Here is a 24,740-nt window from a genome sequence, read left to right as displayed (position 1 = left end):
CATTCCTTTCTATGGATCCCAGATCTTTAGACAAACCCAATCAATGTCAACCAGAAAATGTTTAAATTTACCTATAGCCTAGAAGCTGCCTCTTTGAGTTGTCTCGCCTTTCTGAACCAAACTAATGTATTTCTTAAATGTATTTGATTGATGTCTCATGCCTTGCTAAAATACATAAGAACAAGCTGTACCCCAGCCACCTTGGGTGCATGTTCTCAGGACCTCCTGAGGGCTGTGTCACGGGCCATGGTCACTCGTATTTGGCTCAGAATAAATCTCTGAAAATATTTTACAGAGTTTGACTCTTTCGTCAACAAAATCTAAGAGTTAATAAATATAATGAATGATAGTACTTAGAATATCTTCCCAATGATTCACTATTACTCTCAGTTAACTGCAAAAGAAAATAAGATCTTGCTCATAACTAAATTACACTTTTGTTATGGGCCTAAAAAGAGGAAAGCCATTAAATTTCTAACTTTGTCTTAATCATATTGATAAATTATACCTCTATTGGGCCAACTCTAAGATCAGATTTCAATTTATAATTATTCTGTAAAAATACAATTTTAAAAGTATTAAATCTAATTATGTGTAATGGTAATCATTGTTGCACATCAAAATATTTGGTCCAAAGTTGCTCTAACAGACATGTACCTGATTTTATAAACCAGGCACAGAAAAACAGATATCTCATGTTCTCACTCATATGTGGGAGCTAAAAAAGGGTAACTCATGGAGGTAGAGAGTAGAATGTTGGATCCTGGAAGCTGACAGGGGTGCAAGGGAAGGGGATAAACAGAGGCTGGTTACTCTGCACAAACACACAGCAAGATGGAGGGAATGAGTTCTGGTGTTCTATAGCACAGTAGGGTAACTATAATTAATAAAAAAATTGTATATTTCAAAATAATTATAAGAAAGATTTGGAAGTTTCCCAACACAAAGAAAGATAAATGTTTGAGGTAATGGATATTCCATTTACTCTGATTACACATTGCATGCATGTATCAAAACATCACATGTACTCCATAGATATGTGCAATTTTTATGTACCAATAAAAAATACTTGATTTCAATAGCATTTGACCAGAAATCATAGACAATGCAAATAACTTTATCCAATTACATATATTAAAATTGGTTCAAAGACTACTTTAGGCTGGGTGCGGTGCCTCATGCCTGTAATCCAGCATTTTGGGAGGCTGAGGCAGGTGGATCATGAGGTCAGGAGATTGAGACCATCCTGGCTAACCCGGTGAAAACTCGTCTCTACTAAAAATACAAAAAATTAGCTGGGCGTGGTGGTGGGCACCTGTAGTCCCAGATACTTGGGAGGCTGAGGCTGGAGAATGGCATGAACCTGGGAGGCAGAGCTTGCAGTGAGCCAAGATCGTGCCACTGCACTCCAGCCTGGGTGACAGAGCGAGACTCCGTATCAAAAACAAAAAACAAAAAACTACTTTAACGGGTAAATCTCAAAGATACACTCCTTGCTTTGGATTCTTTATTTTTAATCTTTTGATAATGTCTTTTCAAAACAGTTTTAAAAGACTGCATGGGTAGGCACTGGAAAGTTAGGAGTTACTGTTTTCTTCCCGATGATATTGAAGGTGGATTTAATTCCTTCGTTTTGCTTATCTTGCTTTCCAAATATTCTACCTTGTGCCACAATCAGCTTTGTAACTTAGAAAAATCACTGAGTAATACAAAATTCAAAAATGAGCAAATTATTATCATTCGTCATTCCAGCACTTCGTCAATGGATGCATTGAAATCCCCTTCCAGAATTACCCATATAAATGCAATAATACATGCTATGATTTCATTTTAAATAATTCTAAAATTATTAAAAAATAGTATATCACTGGATTATAATATTCCAAGTCCTCTATGCATACTTGTGGTATTCCTACTATTGAAATATGAGGTTTAGCAATGTACTAAAATACTCCATGTTAGCAACCCAAAAGCATATTAGAATCACGTATGAGGGAAGCTTTTCTGCCTAAGTAAAGTCTCTTCTAGCACCCTTTGCATCCAAATGCAGGAATTCTGCGTGGATAATGCCATCAACTCTGTCAACTTGATGCATGAGTCTTTATTCCATCTCCAGCATGATTTACGGATATGTTCCAAAAAGTAGTTTTTATATCACAACCTGAGTGCCTTCGTTAATCAAAAATATAAAGAAAATAAATGTGTGCAAAAGAATTCTACATAGCTGATTTTTTTAAGTAGAAATGAAAACAAGCTAATCATTCTTGCTCCTATGATTTTATATAAACTGTAACAGCCAAAATGCACACGATGTAATTTTATAAATCTACAAATATTATTTCTCTTTGATAGAATCTATTTTTAAATATTCTAATATTTATTCATAAACTTTATCTGTTGCATTCTCTGAATCTAAAATATCAATGCTAAAGTTGAATATTATAATAATATTACAATTTTGTGACTTTAAATTGATTTTCCATTCATAACTCCAATTTGGGGTGAATGACCTTATAATCCTAAGAGGTCAGCAAAGAAGATAATACTTTTATCATTCTCCACCTTCCAGGAGTACTCGGAAACTTTTAAATAATAACCCAGCCCGTGTGCCTTAACACTTCCTAACTGTAATAGTTTGCCTTCGTTTTGTGAGAGAGGGTCTTCATCTTCATCCTAAACCCCACCCCATCTCCAAAACACACACCCACAGCCTCTATCTGTCCAATCCCTACTCATATATCCAGTCTTCTCAAGATTCAACTCAATCTTCACCTAACATGGAAGCCATTTCCAAAACAGACACAAGACCATTTGGTAATTGTCCTGTTTTCTCTTCCTGCAGCACTGCTTCCGGGAACTTACACTATGAATTCGAATACTCTGCTTAGATATCTTTCTGGTTCCCCTGGCTGGGTTTGGGTGAGCTGGGTGCTCAGTTGGGTTGTGCCACCTGCCACTCTTGGTCAGAATATCCTCTCTTTAAAGATCTCAGGTTTAGAAGTGTGTGTATTTTTACTTTGTATTTCCATTACCTGAGAGAGTGTCATATGGAACGGACTGAACTCATACATGTGGAACTGGGTAGACTTGTACCAAATCAAGATGCAAAGTCAAGAGGAAAAACTAAATGACTCGGTGGTGTTTCAACATCCAGCTCAATATACTTTCACAGAACTCTCATTACCTCTGCAAACCTGAAACAGTCACAAACGGTCAAGAGAAGGTCCCAAAAATCAAACAAACATGATGAAAAGTACTGGGGAATCTGAACTAATTTACATAAAAATATTTTCAAATTAGGAAAATCTTTTCTTCATATTTCTGCAAAATGGCTTTCATGATACATAGAAAATACATTATTGAATGTACCTAAATAATACACAGTCTCTCAAATGAAGCAATGAATATACATTAGCTCAATAAACACACTGGGAATGCTGTAAAAATCCAAATTGTTTCACTGGTTTCTAACAGTGCTGACAAACTTCCCCTACTTTTTCTTTTTCTTTTTTTTTTTTCTTTTTTTTTTTTCGAGACAGCGTTTCGCTTCTGTTGCCCAGGCTGGAGTGCAACGGCATGATCTCAGCTCACTGCAACCTCCTGGGTTCAAGTGATTCTCCTGCCTCAGTCTCCCGAGTAGCTGGAATACAGGTGCCCACCACCATGCCTGGCTAATTTTTGTATTTTTAGTAGAGGTGGGGTTTCACCATGTTGCCCAGGCTGGTCTCAAACTTTTGACCTCAGGTGATCCACCTGCCTCCACCTCCCAAAGTGCTGGGATTACAGGCATGAACCATTGCACCTGTCCACTTCCCCTACTTTGTAACATTGCCTAGGGCTATCCAATGAGAGAGAGTAGGAATAGAGTAAACCCTAATGGAACCACAATGAAGAGAAATACAGGCAAGATACAAACAAAAAAAAAGGCAAGAAGAAGGGCGAGAGATATAAGTAGAAAAAAAGATACCTCAATTATTGGCGAACATCCTTGAAAAAGAATTAGACAGTAATAGAGTTTGGATGTTCAATGTAGCTTGCATATTATATGTCTATATCATCTGGGTATGATTTAAGATTCTGACAGTCAAAAACGATTTCCACCTGGAATCTCTAATCATATTCACATTACCAGGATATGGTTCTACATTTAGAAATTCTGTATTAGGTAACATACTTTGTTCTTTTTGCTATATGACTTTAGTGAATGATAAATCATCTTAATAAGTTCTTATATCGCTTTTCACTTTTCTAAAATGGGTACTCAAAAATAATATCCTAAAATGTTTATATGTACTGTATTCATCATATGCACACAGGTGGCAGCGTGTATTCATTCAATGTATTTGAAGTTAATGTAATTAAATCACCATTCACATCTTCTTCCATACAGAAGAAAAAAACTTAATTTTACATTTCATTATAGAAAGAAACATGCTTGCTGAAGGCTTATAAAACAATTAATGCACTTTCATTTTTCTCAGTATTCTTAGACTGTCTATTCAGTCTAAGTGTTACATGTATTTATATATGTTATTTTCTGAATTGCTAAATTATGCAAAACAAGCAGCTACTCTGGAAGTTTTCAACTGACTTCTATTTACTGACTATCCTCCAGTCCCACTGTAAAGTACTCTGAACTGTGTGAGTGACATCCCCAGCACAGACAGCCACTGGGATCATCTCCAGGCAAATGGGGCATTCCACTTCCACCTGTAGAGATGTGAGCTTACCAAGAGTGCACTCTCCTGTAGTCCCAAACATGGATATGCCAGTTTTACTTGTTATAGTTTAAATTTAACTAAATAAACAGATAAACTGAGTGCACAAAGACAGAGTTGTTACTAGGAACAAACGTGTATATGTCAGTTTTACTTGTTATAGTTTAAATTTAACCAAATAAACAGATAAATTGAGCGCAAAAAGAGAGAGTTGTTACTAGGAACACTAAAATTAATGCTTTGTAAACACTAAGTGGCTTAAAAGAACTGTCCAGCTAGTAGGAGGATAAACAACTTTAGATGTTTGAGGTTGGTAAATCGAGAAAAACCTAGCATGATTCTGCCCTCAAATTGTCGCACATGTATCTTTTGGTTCTAGGTTAACCTGAAGAATTTTAAGCATAGAAATCTCAAGGTCTGCATTATGGGTATGATTTAGTAAAGAGAGACACTGGACCTCTAATCTGTAGATGCTGTATAGGAAAATGTTTATCCAGGGATGCAGTATAGCAAAATGTTCCTGTTTAAGTGTTTCAGTATGTGCAAACCATGACATTAATTAGAACTCTTTTATTGACTTTATTTTTTAAATTTATTTTTATCATCTATATTTTTAAGTATCAAACATTGATTTATTACGTATTTGAATTATATTATTTGCCACTCAGGAAAATGCAGTCAATTAGTCAATGTCATTGGAATCCCTGGATCTATAAATTATCATGAATTTCAAAACACCTGATCACAAATCACCTAAACTCCAAATGGTTTCTTACTTAACAAATAGCAGTCATTGTAATAGCAGTTTGAAATATTATTTAGGAAGTGGCCAGCTATATGCATTAATTAAAATGCCCAAACAATAGGCATGGCTCTTTATTTTTCTACAGAATTATCTTAATTTGGAGATATCAAAAACAAAACAAAACAAAAAACAAAAAAAGAAAGCTTGCCTTGGCCATCCATGGTGGCTCACACCTGTATCGCAGCACTTTGGGAGGCCGAGGCAGGTGGATCACGAGGTCAGGAGTTTGAGACCAGCCTGGCCAACATGGTGAAACACCGTTTCTACTGAAAATACAAAAATTAGCCGGATGTGATGGAGGGCGCCTGTAATCCCAGCTACTTAGGAGGCTGAGGCAGGAGAATTGCTTGAACCCGGAAGGCAGAGGTTGCAGTGAGCAGAGATCGCGCCACTGCACTCTAATCTGGGTGACAGAGTGAGACTCCATCTCAAAAAAAAAAAAAAAAATTCTTGCCTTTAGCATTTATAGAAATTCAATGATCAGCATTAATCCTTCAGACCTAAATGCATTCAAACGGATTTCTCTTCCAGGCTCTAACTCAGTCATCTTTGAGATGATCCTTCTAGATACTAAATTTCTAACAGCTTTTCATTTAGTTACTGAGGTTATTGCAAGGCAATGGTGACTCATGGGAAAACTGCAAGAGACTCAGTCAAAAGACACAAGTTACTTCCACATTGGTAAGGACACACAACCGTAACTGCAAATAACTACACAGGGCATGGGCCACCACTCTGTCCAAGTTTCCACAAGAGGCCAAGCAGCCTTTGAAGATGCCATTGGTCTTTCTACCCTAACATCCCCTACAAAGGAAAAAATCATATTATTAACCCCTTTCAAATTTTCCATGGTCCTAAATATAATAAGACTTTAAAGATATAATTTCACAGCCATTATATTTACAGTGTTCTGACGCTCGCATATAACTGTATATGTAAAATAAATATGTATTTATTATATAATAAATATATGTAATAATACATAAATACATAATACATATAATTATAATGTATAATAAATATATATGTGAGCTGAAAATGTATTCCCAATAATTGTTGTGATCCACATGCAGTCCATAGTTATGAACACACCACAAGACCAATTAGAAAGTAAAGGACCTGGGGATGTGAAAATGTCGCAATGCTCTTAGTGATGTGTATCTCGACGAATAGTACCCATATTCTGAAGTTGAACACGAGAAATGTATGGGCACCAGGATGCCAGGTTGTTTTTCCAGCCAGACATCCCAGTGGGGAAGATGAGGCAAGGAGGGAAGAGTGGGACCCCTGGCAAGGACACTGGCAGCTTTCTTCAAAAGGAGAGTCTTTATAAGTACACAGCACCCACCAAACAAAAAGGGATATGGAATCCTGGGCCAGATGCTTGTTTATAACATGCCTTTTCTAAGTGGTCATTTCCAGTCTTAAAGTCCTCAAATGGACATCTGGCACTGCCATTACCTCGATATTTAATTTTGCATAATTGCTCCCATTTGGGTTTAAAATAGGAACTGTGAAATGGATTGCAATGAGATATTTTGTTATATAAACACGTTTCTCATTATCTGGTTTTCACTCTTCAAATGGCAGTTTACATAACATTTTTAGTATTTTAATTATTGAATTAAACATGGGAAAACCCTACACAGATTTCCCAGCTTTACTAGGTCATTTCAGACAAATGCACAAATCCTGGCAACTGACGGCAGCTTTTTATGTGTCGAATAAATATGAAGTCAAATACTTACCTTAAAGCCAAGCTTGATATTGGTAACTGCTTCTCAAGCCAGGTAAAAAACAAAGAAATAGAAGTAATTTAATCCTGAAAACTTCATTTTCCAGATCTTCTTAAAAACTAATTTTTTGATCAAAACATAAAGAGGAGCACACAATATATACTTGCGTAGTAAAGGGATAAAAGATCCCTGATGGGGCTATTTTGTCTCTTATATTAAGCTACTCAAATACAACTCCTCAAGTGGAATGAAAATAGAATTAGATGATCAGGAGGAGATATCGGGGTGGGGTAAAAGGGGCAAGTTTAGGGATTTTTATAAATATATGGATACATAGTTTTCTTGTTAATTAGTCATTTAAAATACCTTGTCAATAAAAGACTTCTCGATCACCTTTCCTAGCATCAAAATGATTACAATGTAAATGGGACTATAAGTATGTCTTGTAGTCAGTGCAAAGTGTCTGACAACTTTAATACCAAGTGATGGAGAGAAAACACTATTTCAGGAATAGATATTAAAAGTGATCATATAACACACAGTGGATTGGAAGCATTCCAGGAAGAATGGGACATGAGTGAGGCCTTGAAGGGTAGAGCAGAATTGATGCTGGCAGGAAGAGTTGGATGTGGTGTTCCAGATGGAGGAGAGAGACAGAAATTAAAGCCATGAAGTCAGGAAGATAATAAACTAGACCACGCTGTGCTGGTGCCCGGTGCTGGAGCACAGAGAGAGCTTCTATTATGTGTATTATATGCACACAACAACATGGTAAGGAGATCTCTCATTATCCTCATCCTATATATGAGACATTGAGGCTCTCTAATAGCCAGATTTGGCTATCTGCCTCGAGAATCCAGCCTTTAGCCATTCCCTCCTCTAAGTCACTACTCTCCTGAAGGCACACTCCAAGGACAGGTTAATTACATCAATGTGGCATTTCTCATTCATTTTTGTATAGCTCTTAAAAGTTAGTGAAATGTCATATTGCATTAAACAAAAAATGACCAAACACCTCATGAAAAGGACAACTCAAGAAAACTGTATGGTGGGGAATTTTAGAAAAATTGAATCAAATGGAAAGGTACTGCAAGCTGGGCACAGTGGCTGTCGCCTGTAATCCCAACACCTTGGGAGGCTGAGGCAGGAGGAGCGCTTGAGGTCAGGAGTGCAAGACCAGCCTAGGCAACATAGCAAGGCCCTGTCTCTATATAAAATTTTAAAATTAGCCAGATGTGGTGGCGTATGCCTGTAGTCCCAGCTACTCAGGAGGCTGAGGTGGAAGGATCACTTGAGTCCAGGAGTTGGGGCTGCAGTGAACCGTGATTGCACCACTGCACTCCAGCCTGGGCAACACAGCGAGATCCTGTCTCAAAAAAAAAGAAAAGAAAGAAAGAAAAGAAAAACACTGCAAAGTTCACTGGGAATTCAACTTAAAGCTGAAATGCCCCTAAAATTATTAAAAATATGTTACAGTCAATTTTGCCAAAAGGACAATAACTTTTATATTCATAATTCAATGGATTATTTGAATAAAATCACTCATAACTAAGAGCAGTTACTTTCAAAATGAAAAAGAATTAGTTAAAGATGTTATTTTTCAGATAGCATAGATTCTTACATTTTGTGTGTCGAATAAATAACAATGCTTTATATAATTACTATTGTTTTCCATCCCACATTTTACTCTTCCATTTCACTCCTTCAGTTCATAGCAGAAGACAATATTACCAGCTGGTTGTTCCTCAGTATGACAGTGGCCAATGCACTAACTCTCAGGCTTCAGTACTTCCCAAAAGAACTTTACAACGTGGAAGTCCCAAGGTCATCCCTCCAGGGATGTACAGAGCCTGTGTTTAAAAGACTGCGGTGGCTAAGTGAGGATTCCTCCTTCTAGGAGCCAGGATTCATTCTAGGTCCAATATGCAGAATTTCCACATCTGACCTGTCTCTAGTGCTACATCTGCCACCTGTTTCATTATCTTGCACTCTCATATGTGTAAGTCCTTTCTGTAGTTTTGGAACTTCAGCTTACCAGCTTCTCTGAGCATGACTTACGTGTTCAAATCTGGTCTCCAGATTTGCCTTTTTCTTTAGTCTTAGGGTGCTAGCCCTGAGCGCTTGACAATCAGCTTTTTGGCCTGGCCTTTCTCTATCCCTTCCAGCCCCAGCTAGATTTGGTATTAAACATTATCTCATAGGCCCTCAGTTGCCGAGACTTGAAAGGGTCTACCTAGAAGGATTTAAACTCTATGGCATATCCATTCACCTGCTGGAAATTAGGTTGGAATCTTTCTGCAACACCTGCACTTCCTAAGGTATTATTAGCCTTGCCAGGTACAGGGCTGGGAAAGACAGAATTAACCAGAGCGTAGGCACCACACCATGGCCAGAAACACGGAACAGAGAGAAGAAATGTATACGCGGGCGGGCAGGGGACCATTGCATACATTTGTAACCAAAGTGAAAGCAGAATACCAATAACTGGTAAAACTCACATCAAAAGGACATAGGGCGGTATTGGCAGGGGAGGGAAAATTTCAGTAGAGAGTTTATTAGGGGAAATCCGCTAGTGTGCTATGGGTCTGTGCCTCTCTCCCCCAAGGGAGAAAGGTTCAAAGGGCTTTTGTGGGACTGAGAGCTTGTTGTATTTCACACAGTTAATGGGTGCTGGGGCTCAGGCTTGGCTTTTCCTTCAGCCATCTAGAGTGCAAAAAAGGACTAGCTGTCCCTTTGGCAGCAGAGCAAGGGCCTGAGGTCTGCAACACTGAGACCTATCAGCCTCCCTAGAGGTGTGCAGGCAAAGGATGTATGATGTCGTCCTAGGACCCATACAGGTCAAGAAGGAAACATAGCTGGCGGGTTGGTCATCTTGAATCTCATTCTCTGTGCAATCTGGAGAGATGTACAAGCTCTAAGCAGATGAAAAGCTAGGACTGGAATCACCAGATTCTTGGGGCTGCAGAAGTGAACCCAGGAATAGAGACTGTTCAATATGTCTAAGGATTCAAAGGTCATCATAGGATAGAGGGCATCTGATAAACCCATGAACACTTGAGGTGTGACAGGGTTAGCTCTACACACTGGAATGTGTGAGTACACCTTATACTAGAACTAGTCACACTGGAGTGTGTGAGTACACCTTATACTAGAACTAGTCACACTGGAGTATGTGAGTACACCTTATACTAGAATTAGTCACACTGGAGTGTGTCAGTACACCTTATACTAGAACTAGTCACACTGGAGTGTGTCAGTACACCTTATAATAGAACTAGTCAAGTGAGAACTTCCCCATCTAGTTTTCCTTTTTTTCCTAACCAAACTTTGACCCTGTTGTGATTAACAACTGTGTTTAACAAACTGAGGGAGAGGAAATGCTTGGTAGGATAAAAAAGAATCTCTTATTCTGTCACTCATACATATACAAATACACACAAGCGCACACACACACACACACACACACACACACACACACACACAAATTGTTATTGGTAGGCCCCCTGCTGTGGAAAGGGAGAAGATTTTAACTTTAAATCGTATTAGAAAGATTGAGGATTTTCAGACACTGAACATTTTAAGTTACTGAGTTGAAGCTTTATTGAGAATTAAAGAGATAAGAGTTCTTCCTGTTACATAAAAGTTAGTGCTGCCTTCACTGAGCATGTTTAATGGGTTCTATGAGAGATAAAGTTTATTTTAAAATTTATTTCATGATTTTCTATCAAGAAACCCATATACCAATAGACTCTTGATACCACAGTTATGCTTGTCTCTTGCAACTAGAAAAAGCTCACTGAAAGGAAAGGTAATAGATCTTCATCCCATTTCCTTGCTTCATATAACCATGGAGCTTTTAGACAGTTTCCTGACTTTCCCCTAGAACTACAGAAAGCTGGATGCCAACAAGAGACATAAGTCATGAAGGACGTCATTAGCAAGCCCAGCCAGCTGTTGATGTATTCAGGACAAATCCAAGCAAGAGAAGCTTGACCAATTAGGCTGGGCGCAGTGGCTCATGCCTGTAATCGCAGCACTTTAGGAGGCTGAGGCAGGAGGATGGCTTGAACCCAGAAGTTTGAGACCAGCCTGGGTAACATAGGGAGACCCCATCTTTACAAAAATAATAGAAAAATTAGCCAGGTGTGCTGACATGTGCCTGTGGTCCCAGCTACTTGGGAGGCTGAGGTGGGAGGATCGCTTGAGCCCAGGAGGTCCAGGCTACAGTGAGTCATGATTGTGCCACTGGACTCCAGCCTGGGCAATGGAGTGAGACCCTGCCTTAAACATAAATAAATAAACAAGAAATCCAACCATCAGGGCTCATGAAATATACTGAACCTGACCTTCTAAGACTGTAAATGACTGTATTTATTAGTTTGACTTTTAAAAAGGAAAACAGTGCATCTGGATGAGGAGCAGAATATGAAAGTCTGAGAGGCTGCTACACTATCTCTGAGCCCGTGAAGTCTGGTGAGGAGATCAAACTGCTCAGTGTTATCTCTGACCTGCTTCTACTCCCAGACTACAATGGAGAAAACTGACCTCCTTATCCTACTTTCTTTCTTGTTCAGAATCTATCACCAGTCTATCCCTGGTCTCTCTGATTCCCATTTCCTACCATGATAATTTTGCTATGCAGTGAATAATTCAGTTAATAAGCTAGAAGTATCAAAACAGTATAAATGTTGCATATGCAAATTATACACAATTAATTTTTAAATATACAGACATTTGAGCTTAAGTAGCATTTTTAAAAGTCCTACATTTTTAAAATTTTATTTTTTAAAAAATGACATTATATTCCAACTTCTAAAGTAACCTATATTTACCACAAAAATGTTAATAAAACTGAAAAGGTGAGAAAAGAAAAATCGCCTATAATCCGCATCTAAGATAACCACTGCACTGGGTGAAAGCAAACAACCATCCCTCCCACTTGTTGCTGGTTTCTGCATCTGTATCTTCTCTCCTGGACCTCTGCTTCAACAAGTACAGGCGTTTTACACTTGGCCGTGTCATTTGCTTTGACTCATGGAATGTGGGTGGGACAAAAAGCATGCCAGTTACAGCCAGAGAAGCGAGGAGGCATTGAGAGATTCTGCATGTTCGCTTAGACTTGTGTCTCATCCTGGGAAGAGTGGCTCCAGATATTACCTCCTCCTTCTGCCTGAGTCACAGAATGAAAGACCCATGAGGCTGAACCAGTTTATCTGCAGCGGACACCCACAGTCCTCATGCAAGGTCATCAAGCAATTAGCACTTGTTGTGGTTGGACAGAAGATTCTTGTGTTGCCTGTTGCTACAGCAAAAACTTGTTAACAAAACCACTATTAACATGCTCCCCTCCCCATTTAATTTAACGGTATTTTCAAATATACCGATAGATCTAGTGTTTAAAGCATACCATTAAGTGGAGGTCACCAAGTTGAAATCATGAGGAATATAATCAGAAGAGTAACATTTTCAGTAACCTATGTCACAAAAAAACGATAAAGGAACTTGACATTTTTAAAATGGAGAGGGAAGGACCTAAAGCAAGGCAACAGTTATGGCTGCAAAAATATAGAACGCACTGTCTTCCTAGACTGTGATCTACCGAAATAAGATGCATTCACCTGGGGACTAGATGACCACTTTTTATTACAAGCATTCACTCATTGTTGGGAAGGCTGGAGCAGATAATCTTGATGGTCCTCCACATCCCAGGTTTCCATGCTTTACTTATTATAATAACTGAACATTAGAAATTGTATTTTTTTCCAAATAAAACAAGAACCACTTGTATTTTAAGTTATTTAAATGATAAAGATTATACCCAAAGGTTAGTGGGAGAGGGCTATAGACAATAGGCCTTAGTAAAACTTCAGTGTTTGTAAAGCTCAATGCCAGCATTAAGAAAAAAGGTAGTAAAATAAATGGAGGGGGCCAGATGTGATGGCTCACACCTGTAATCCCAGCAGTTTGGGAGGCCAAGGCAGGAGAGTCACTTGAGGGCAGGAGTTTGAGATCAGCCTGGGCAACATAGCCAGACCCCAACTCTACAATATATATATTTTTTAATAATCAGCTGGGCATGGTGGCATGCACCTGTAGTCCCAGCTACTCAGGAGGCTGAGGCAGGAAGATTGCTTGAGCCTGGGAGGTCAAGGCTGCAGTGAGGGTGACTGCACCTCTGAACTCCAGCCTGGGCAATAGAGTAAGACCCTGTTTAAAAAAAAAAAAAGAAAAAACAGCACAAAAAACAACAACGAAACTTGATGTGGGGGTTGTGTCAGTGATTGCTTTCATGGAAACTTTTCTCCAGTCAATTCCAGGAAGAGTTACATACAAGACACACATGGGAACTCACAGTCAGCCAACTTTTTTTTTTTTTTCAAATATAGAAAAGCCCTTGACCCATTACTTGGTTTTGTTTTGAACTATTCAGACACACACACACATATATGCAAGGTCATGCACACACAGGGGCAATGCTAGCATCCTGCAACACCATTTGCAGCCAGAGAACCCACAAGACCTGCAGACCTCCTGCTCACATGGCTTCTTTCACTCAAAGAGAGTGGCTCCAGGTAGCAGCGACTGCACTCTCATTTCGTTTTCCACATTTGCCACATTTGACATTTTAAAAAATACATTTTAATATTGGTATACAACTAATGAAAAGCTTACATTAGAATTCTCTGCAATACTCATGATTAGCCTCTTAAGATTTTAGAAATTTCTAAAATCAGTTATCAACATCATGACATAAACACCTGTAGTCCTTGCCAAATTCAGCACCACTTGTATTATTTTTTCTATTCTCAAAGGTTCACAAATCTTGACAATTTTGTCTTTTTTTTTTTTTTCATCCCAGGGCTAATCCTCAGTCCTGAGCCATCCTCTGATCCCTGCTTTTATCTTCACTGTATCCTCTTATCCTTAACCAGTGAACCAATTCCTAGGTTTCCACAGTTCACAGAGATTCAGTCATCAAAAAGGTATTTTCTTAAGAGTCCAAAGAAAAAAATAATAATGGCAACTGCAGAACAAACTGCTTGACTTCTGCTATCTTTTTTTTCTTTTTCTTCTGTAATATCAAAACCTACTAATCTGATCTATATTTACTCAAACTTACCTATACCAAAAACCCAAAATTATAATAACCTGTGAGTCTTACTTTACACTTTCTTAAGATGTTTTTGATAATTACTTGTCCTTAAAGCTAATTTTCAGTAAGTGCCTAATAGACCCAAGAGATGTTTTAATTCAAAATAATGGCCATCCCAAAGGCAAGCATTAATCTCTCTACAGAACCACTAAACAGCATAGCATGGCCAGCAAAGAGGCAAGGCTTTTGGCTACCACCATGGCATTCATAATCATGAACTGATTTGCTCAATCTCAATGTAGTCTTTTAAATTTGTATAAAGTTCTGAATAAAAAGACTTCCTGAATTACTATCTTAGAAATATGCATGGATTTAGTAGAAAGTACAAGGTATTTCAGACACTTGTACCCAAAGTAAGCAAACAGGTAAGAAACGCTACTTTTAAATGTTTGCTTCTCAGGCCCAGATGGCTGGCTTCATTGGTGTGTTATCACAAACATTTAAGAAATAGACTGGACATGATGGCTTACATCTATAATTTCAGCACTTTGAGAGGCAAAGGTGGGAGGAATGCTTGAGGTCAGGAGTTTTAGATCAGGCTGGGCAAAATAGTAGGAACCCCATCTCTATGAAAAATTTAAAAATTAGCCAGCTATGGTGGTGCACACTTGTAGTCTCAGCTACAAGGGAGGCTGAGGCAGGAGGATCACTTGAGCCCAGGGGTTTGAGTCTGCAGTGAGCTATGATTGTACCACTGCACTCCAGCCTGGGTGATAGAACAAGATTTAAGAAAAGGATAAAGAAAGAAAGAAAAAAGGAAAAGGAAGAACAGAAGGAAAGAAGGAAAGCAAAAACCAAGCAAGCAAGACCAGCCCTTCACAAACACTTCCAAAGTGTAGAATAAAATAAAACACACCCTAAGTAATTATTTGAGGCAAGTATTTCCAAAATCAGGCAGAGATCATAATAATACTATGTATAGATAATTTCCATGACTAGAAAAGCAAAAATCTTCAATAAAATACAAGGATATGAAATCCGGGAACATTTGAGAAGTATTATACACCATGGCCAATTAGGATTTATTCTAGGAATGTGAAATTTGTTTAATATATGAAAATCAATCAACAATTAATTTATGAAAATCAAACATACCATATTTATAGTATTAAGGACAGAATACACACAATTATTTCAGTAGACAATAATAGCGCATGTTAAAAACACCCAATAAACTGGAAAGAGAATTTTCTCAACCCAATAAAGGACATCTACACAAAACCCAGAGCTAATATACTACTTAATAGTGAAAGCCTAAAAATATTATCGTTAAAATCAGAACAAGATAAGGACATCTGCTTTTACCACATCTATTCAACATTTGAAGGGCGTTTCCAGCCAGGACGATTAGATAATATAAAGAATAAAGGGTATCTGGAGGAAAGGGAGAAGTAAAATTATCTCTATTCAAAGAAGACATACTCTTGTACATAGAAAATCCTAGAAATTTATACACCATAAATCTATCAGAACTAATAATTAAGCAAGTTTGTAAATTACCAGCTCAATATTAAAAAATCAATTGTATTTTTATATGCTAACAATAAAAAGTAAAATTAAAAAAGCAATTCCATTGGCAACAGCATCAGAACTAATGAAACATTTAAGAATAAATTTAACAAAAGAAGTAGAAAATTTGTATCCTAAAACCAAAAAAACATTGTTAAAAGAAATTCAATATCAAAGTAAATAAAAGGCATTACACATTCATGGACTGGAAGCCTCAAAAGTGTGAAGAAGGCAGTACTCTTCAGATTGATTTACAAACGTAATACAAACCCTATCAAAATTCCAGCTGACTTTTGTGATAAATTTGGCAAGCTGATCATAAAATTTATATGAAAATGCAAGGAATCAAAACTAGCCAAAATAATCTTGAAAGTAACAACAATGTTGGAGCACAGCTCACATTTTAATTTCAAAACTTACTGCATGCTACAATAATCAAAACAGTGAGATGCTGGCATAAAATCAGACATATAGATCAAAAGAATAGAATTTAAATTCCAAAAATAAACACATTTATGGTCAATTAAACTTGAAAAAAAATATAACTAGGAAAATAATAGGTTTTCAGGAATTAGTGCTGGAACAACTGGGTACCCATATGTACAAGGAGAAAGTTGGACAGAAAAATTATGTCAAAATAGATCCCAGACCCAATTCTAAAGGACAAAACCGCAAAACTCTTTGAAGAAAATGTAGGAGTAAATCTCTGTGGCCTTGGATTAGGAAACGGTTTTTTAGATATGACATCAAAAGAACAAGTAGCAAAAAATAATAATAATAATAAAGTAGATAAACTGAACTATATCCAAATTTAAAACTTTTGTCATGGAGTTGATAAAACCAATAAAGTGGGAAGACAACCCACACCATGGAAGAAAATATTTTCAAAGCATTTCTTATAAGGGTCTGCTATCCAGGACATATAAAGAACTTTCACAACTCAACAATCAGACAACCCAAGTAAATAATGGTCAAGGAATTTGGGTAGATCATTCTCCAAAGAAGATATACAAACAGCCAATAAGCACATAAAAAATGCTGAATATATAGTTATTAGGAAAATGTGAAGTACAACCACAATGAGATACTTTACACTCACTAGGAGGGCTATAATCAAAACTCAGACAATTATAAGTGTTAATGAAGATAAGAAGAAATTAGAACACTTATGCATTGCTGGTGGAATTTAAAATATCACTGTCACTTGGAAAAGTTTGATAGCTTCTCAAAATGTTAAAATTGGAGTTATCATGTGACCCAGCAATTGCACTCATAGATGCAAAATAAATGAAAACCTACATTTATAAAAAACTTATACATGAATGCTCACAACATTATTCATTATAACCAAAAAGTAGAAATAACACAAATGTCCATCAACTGATAAATGGAAAATAAAATATGGTTTATCTCTACAATGGAATACTGAATACAGTGTTAAAAACAAATGAAGTACTGATCCATTCCACAACATGGATGAACCTTGAAAACATTATACTAAGTGAACAAAGCCAGACACAAAAGGACACACATGTATAATTCTATTTACATTAAATGTTCAGTATAGGTGAGGAAATCTAAAGAGACCGAAAAATGTATTCATGGTTGCCAGAAGCTGGTGGAGCAGGTGAGTTGAAATAGGAAGTAACTGTTAATGAGTACAGAGAGTTTTTTCAGGGGGGTGGGTAGTGGGGTGATGATTGTGGTGATTGTTGCACAACTCTGAATGTACTAAAAATTATTGAATTGTATGCTTTAATAAGGGGAATTTTATAGTTTGTGAACTGTATCTCAATAAAGATGTTAAAACAGAAGCTGACTTTGCCATGCTCATTCACATTTTAATGTGCTGCATGACATTGTTTCAAAAACATCATTATATCACCAAGTTCTCTTCATTTCATTACACAAAGCAAAGAGATGCCATGAGTATCCTCTTTGTGGTTCTGTTAGTAATTTTCAGGTAATCGCAATGTATCTTTGAATTCTTTCTCCACTCCCACATTTCCTCATGTTTTCAACTGTCTGTTGGCCATTTTTATTTGCTGTATCTCAATTCGGGTATAATTAAATCTTATCACCCGGGCTAACAAAGTCATTCTCCCTTATCAACTTCGATTATCAGTCAAGAAATCCTCTTTTCTCCAAGGGTCTGTGCTCCAAGCTCTAAAGTTAGTATCTATATTTCTCTCTCCCTTCATAACCAGTCATCAAGTTTTGTTCATTCTTTTGACACTTCCCTTAACTGCTCTTCCCTTCCTATTTCTACTTCCATCATCCTGATTATTTACTTCGTTATCTCCGAGGCTAAACTACTTCAATATCCTCCAAACCTTTTATCCTGCCTACAGTTCTTCCTCTCTCCAACTTATATGGCAAACAAATTCCTACAGTTTGTTGTTTTCTGTGGAATGTTTCAGCTCAAAGATATTCAATACATCTTCACCTCCTACAAGATTATATTCAATCTTTTGACATTTAAAAATCTCCATCTACTGGCCACATTCCCACATTTGTCCATGTTACTTTCAAGTACTCCACATTCATTATGCTTCTATCCTAGTCAAATTGTTCTAATTGTCAACCCAAAACACAGCCGATAGCCTGTAGAAAACATTTTGCTTCCACTTGGAAGTTTATTTTTCCTTGTTATCACCTACTTACTTATCAAAAGTTAAACACCCACTCAATTAAGTACCTCTTTCCTTCCTTCCTTCCTTCCTTCCTTCCTTCCTTCCTTCCTTCCTTCCTTCCTCCCTTCCTTCCTTCCTTCCTCCTTTCCTTTCTCTCTCTCTCTCTCTTTCCCTTCCTTCCTTCCTTCCTTCTTTCCTTCTTTCTTTTCTTTTCTTTTCTTTCTTTCTTACACAGTCTCACTCTATTACCCAGGCTGGAGTGCAACGGCATGATCTCTGCTCACTGCAACCTCTGCCTCCTGGGCTTTAGCAATTCTCCTGCCTCAGTCTCCTGAGTAGCTGGGATTATAGGCACCCACCACCATGCCTGGCTAAAAAAAAAAAGTTGGCTATTTGAAAAGATAAATAAAATTGATAAACCATTAGCCAAACTAAGAAAAAAAGAGAAAAAACTCAAATAAAGAAAATCAGAGATTAAAACAGAGACATTAAAACTGATACTGCAGAAATTCAAAGGAACATTAGTGGCTACTATCAGAAACTATATACCAATAGATTAGAACATTTAGAATAAACAAATAAATTTCTAAATACATACAATCTACCAATATTCAACCATGAAGAAATCTGTTATCTGAACAGACCAATGACAAGCAATGAGATTGAAGCCATAATAAAAACTCTCCAAGTAAAGAAAAGCCCAGGACCTGATGGCTTCACTGCTGAATTCTAGCAAATATTTAAAGAACTAATACTAATCATACTCAAACTTTCTCAAAAGATAGAGGAGGGAATACTTTCAAACTCATTCTATGAAGCCAGTATTACTCTGATAACAAAACTAGTCAAAGACACATTAAAAAAAAAAAGCTACAGGCCAATATCTCTGACAAATATTGATGCAAAAATCCTCAACAAAGCATTAGCAAACCAAATTCAACAATACATTTGATAAAGTTCCACGTCCCTTCATGATAAAAACCATCAGAAAACTGGGTATAGAAGGAACATAACCTCAACGTAATAAAAGCTGTACATGACAGACCCACAGCTAATATTATACCGAATGGGGGAAAACTAAAAGCCTTTTCTCTTCAATCTGAAATATAACAGGATGCCAACTGTCACCACTGTTATTCAATTTAATACTGGAAGGTCTAGCTAGAGCAATCAGACACGAGAAAAGATATAAAGCGTATCAAAATTGAAAAGGAAAAATTCAGGTTATCCCTGTTTGCAGATAATATGATCTGACATTTGAAAACACCTAAAGAACTCCATCAAAAAAACCTACCAGAACTGATAAACAAATTCAGTAAAGATGCAGGATTCAAAATCAACATACAAAAATCAGTTACATTTCTATATGCCAAGAGTCAGAAATTTGAAAAAGAAATAAAAAAGTAATCCCATTTGCAATAACCACAAATATAATTAAATATCCAGGAATAAACTTAACCAATGAATGAAATATCTCTGCAATGAAAACTATAAAACACTGATGAAAAAACTGAAGAGGACAAAAAAATTAAAAGATATTCCATGTTCATGGATTGCAATAATTAATATTGTTAAAATGTCCCTACTACTGAAAGTAACCAATAGATTCAATGTAATATTTGTCAAAATACCAATGACATTCTTCAAAGAAAAAGAAGAATCTAAATAGAAGATCCTTGGAAGAATTAGAAGATTCTAAAACTTATATGGAGTTACAAAATATAGAGAATAGGTAAGAAAATCCTGAGGAAAAAGAATAAAGCTGGAGTAATCATATTACGTGACTTCAAATTATACTACAATGGCATCATAACCAAAACAGCATGGTAGTGGCATAAAAACAGACACATAGACCAATGGAAGAGCATAGAGAATGCAGAAACAAATCTAGACACCTAGAGTGAACTCATTTTCAACAAAGGTGCAAAGAACATACATTGGGGAAAAGACAGTCTCTTCAAAAGTGGTGCTGGGAAAACTGGATATCCATACGAATGAAGAATGAAACTTGACCCCCATCTTTGCCTTATACAAAAATCAAAACAAAACAGATTAAAGACTTAAATATAAGACCTCAGACTATGAAACTACCAAAATAAAACACTGGGGAAACTCTCTAGGACATTGTTCTGGGCAAAAATTTCTTGAGTAATATTCTACAAGCGTAAGCAACCAAAGCAAAAATGGGCAAATAGGATCACATCAAGCTAAAAAGCCTTTTGCACAGCAAGGAAAACAATCAGCAAAGTGGAGAGACAACCCATAGAATGAGAAAAAATATTTTCAAACTACCCATCTGACAAGAGATAAATAACCAGAATACATAAAGAGCTCAAACAACTCTATAGAAAAACAAATCTAATCATCTGATTTTAAAATGGGCAATAGGGACCGGGTGCAGTGGCTCACACCTGTAATCCCAGAACTTCAGGAGGCCGAGATGGGCAGATCATGAGGTCAGGAGTTGGAAACCAGACTGACCAGCATGGCGAAACCGCGTCTCTACTAAAAATACAAAAATTAGCCAGGTATGGTGGCGGACGCCTTTAATCCCAGCTACTTGGGATGCTGAAGCAGGAGAATCACTTGAACCTGGGACATGGAGGTTGTGGTGAGCCAAGATGGTGCCACTGCATTCCAGCCTGGGCAAGAGAGCGAGACCCTCTCAAAAAAAAAAAAAAAAAAGAAGGCAATAGATTTGAATAAACATTTCTGAAAAGAAGACAGACAAATGAAACGGGCATATGAAAGATTGCTCAACATTATTGATCATTAGAGATGTAAATGAAAACTACATTGAGATATCATCTCACCCCAGTTAAAATGGCTTTCATCCAAAAGACAGGTAATAACAAATGCTGGCAAGAATGTGGAGAAAAGAGAACCCTAGTACACTGTTGGTGGGAATGTAAGTTAGTACAAATACTATGGAGAGCAGTTTGGAGCTTCTTCAGAAAACTAAAAGTAGAACTACCATATGATTCAGCAATCCCACTGCTGGGTATATACCCCAAAAGAAAGGAAATCAGTATATTGAAAAGATATCTGCACTCCCATGTTTGTTATAGCACTGCTCATAATAGCCAGAATTTGGAAGCAACCTAAGTGTCCATCAACAGATGAATGGGTAAAGAAAATGTGGTACTTATAAACAATGGAGTACTCTTCAAGCCATAAATAAGAATGAAATCCTGTCATTTGCAACAACATGGATGGAAGTGGAGATCATTATGTTAAGTGAAATAAGCCAGATACAGACAGACAAGCATCAAATGTTCTAACTGATTTGTGGAATCTAAAAATCAAAACAATTGAACTTATGGACATAGAAATTAGAAGAATGGTTATCAGAGGCTGGGAAGGGTGGTGGGAGAGTGTGTTGGGGGGAGGTTGTGATAGTTAGTGGGTACAAAAAATTAGTTAGAAAGAATGAATAAGACATAGTATTTAATCACCTAATAGGGGGACTACAGTCAATAATAATTTCATCATACATTTTAAAATAACTAAAATAGTATAATTGGATTGTTTGAAACACAAAGGATAAGTGCTTGAGGGGATGGAGACCTAACTTTCCATGACATGATTATATGCATTGCATGCCTGTATCAAAACCCCATAAATAGACACACCTACTATGTACCCACAAAATTAAAAATAAACAATTTTTAAAATACTTATATTGTTATAAAATATTTCACATTAAAAAATTAAGATTTTTTAAAACTCCAATAACAAAACGCAGAAAGCATTTCCCTTATCTGGTCCATGCCAATGAAATGAGTTTCCTAGTAAGGCAATTGGATGTCACAGCAATGTCAGATTGGTCTAAATACTTCTGGATACATCCTGTCAATGCCTGTACTCTTTAGAGATTAATAACAAAATTTCACAGACCAACACTGGTTCATATACATATTTATACATATGTATACATATGGATATCACAAACACAGTCCGTTAACAATGAGGATACATTCTGAAAACGTGTCATTAAACACTTACACAAACCTAAATGTGACAGCCTCCTACACACCCAAGCCATATGGTATAGCCTATTGCTCCTAGGCTACAAACCTGTGCAACATGCACTATACTAAATACTTTAGGCAACTGTAACACAATGAAAAGTGTTTGTATTTCTAAACATATAAAAGGTACAGTAAAAATATGGTATTATAATCTCATGGGACCACCATTGTTGACCAGAACATCATTATGTGGCATGTGACTGTATCTATGCCAAAATCATATCACAATTGTGATATGAAGCCATTTTAAATGGAAATACCCTAAGCAGTTTGCATAGTAAGTTTCCCAGAAGTGGGACGCTGTTATATAAATATGCCATCCTTAAAACCTGCATCCAATGGTGGACCAGTGTGCATGTCACAGTGATTCTAAAATGAATCATCCCTTTTTCTACTCTTCCTACATTTTCTTATATTCTCTGACAGCTGGGATTCTGCAAAGGACTAAATATTCGTACCCCCTAAAAAATTCATATGTTGAAATACTAACCCCAATGTGATGGTATTTGGAGGTGGAGCCTTGGGGAAGTGATTAAGTCATGAAGGTAGAACCCTCATGAATGGGATTAGGGCCCTTCTAAAAAGAGACTCCAGAATGCTTTATTTGTCATGTGAGATGACATTGAGGAGGTGGTTGGCTGCAGCCCTGAAGAGGACCCTCACCAGAAATGGACTATGCTGGCATCTGATCTCAGATTCCAATCTCCAGAACCATGAGAAATGAATTTTTATTTTGTATTGACTATAAAGTCCATAAACAAAATCTACAATACATTGTTGAGCAGCCCAAGATAAGACAGATACCTTCTGTGAAAAAGCTTACTTGGGAAAGTAAAATTCGAAGGTTTAATTGATTCCAGAGTGCAGGCTCACAAATGCCTACATGTATTGATGGAATGATGTCCTTATAAACATTCTCCTTGTCTCCTGAGATTCCATTTTGAATAGGCTTACTAATGTCATACAATAGACCATTACTTCTAGAAAGACTTTGTAGCAAGAGAATTTATTTGATTTACTCACTTGAGAAGCTCATCTCATTTATGGTTTTGAATATGCATTTTTTCCCTTAAGAATGGTTTACAAATAAGAAATAATGGGCTTACAAATAAGAATACATAATAGCATCTGCTACAAGTAGATATCTGCGTGATTGAATAGAAAGTCTGATTTAATCTATAGCATCAGTTTAATGTGCTAGTGCCTTAAAATAAACATTAATGTAAAACCACAGTTTTAGGTTAAGGCACAGAATGGAACACACTTTATAATACCTAACCTCAGTTTCAGTTAAAAACATTTGTACCTTTTATAAGAAAAAAACCAAGGTTTTCACATGTAACTATTAGAAAGTTATAAAAATATTCAAGCAGCATTGCTTCAGTTTAGAGAGTTCCATTTAATTACCCAAGAAGAAATGCATTGTCAGCAAGGGTTTTGCCAGGATCTGGCAAACGTTGCCCTTGGAAGTCTATGCCAAGAGAATAAAAGAGAGTAAATATTGGTTTCTGTTACGTAAACAAGTCATGCTCTTCTGTTCTACAAGTTGAACTAATGGGAAAGAGACAGTCCATAGTATGTAAGGGTCTCCTGAGATTAGTCATCTCCTAATTTCAAACTGATTATACCTGATCAATGTATTTTGTTAATATAAACTGCATTTAATATCTGAGAGAGGCATTTCAGTAATTGACACATCACAGACAGACCCGTCCCTGTTCAGTGTTTTCAGCAACCTTATGGGACAGACAAAGCCTTGTATATGCATCATGAGTAAGAAAAGACAGGAAGCAAATAACATCTATTGTATCAAGTAGCTCAAAATAAAAATGTATCATAAAAGATTATGGTGACCAAGTTCAAGACTTACTTAATATCTAATAACTCTATAACAATGGAGTGCTAAAAATAAGTTCTGAAAACAATAAAATATCATGTGAATACATTATTTTTGTAAAGCCTAACCATAGGCTCCTAAAGTCCTAAAATGTTAAAACTTGGTTATTTTTATCTGATTTGAACTACTTATAATATTTATACTATTCAATGCAAAATGTAATTTATAAATGTCATCTAAAAATAAATGATATGCATAACTTTTGTTTGTATTTCCTAAAAAGTCATTTCCCTAAGCACATTAATATAAAATAAGCAA

At 36.7% G+C, this 24,740-nt stretch overlaps 1 protein-coding gene across 2 annotated transcripts in view, besides 1 other annotated feature; it reads right to left on the bottom strand.

Annotated features, from left to right (window-relative positions):
* MYO16 (myosin XVI) overlaps nt 1-24,740 on the bottom strand; it is a 712,290-nt gene that overhangs the window by 622,594 nt on the left and 64,956 nt on the right. The gene's annotated exons all lie outside the window — the stretch shown is intronic.
* Nucleotides 23,719-23,888: an enhancer, noted in NCBI's record as "experimental_32288 CRE fragment used in MPRA reporter constructs". NCBI's record gives its function as "activates a minimal promoter by MPRAs in K562 erythroleukemia cells, with activity observed for both the introgressed and non-introgressed 13:109213957 variant alleles {active_cell/tissue: K562}" and the evidence as "EXISTENCE:reporter gene assay evidence [ECO:0000049][PMID:34662402]".

Source organism: Homo sapiens, chromosome 13 (assembly GCF_000001405.40).
Source record: "Homo sapiens chromosome 13, GRCh38.p14 Primary Assembly".
Lineage (NCBI taxonomy): Eukaryota > Metazoa > Chordata > Mammalia > Primates > Hominidae > Homo > Homo sapiens.
Note: the sequence above shows the minus strand (reverse complement) of the source record. Positions and strands in the feature narration are given on the sequence as shown.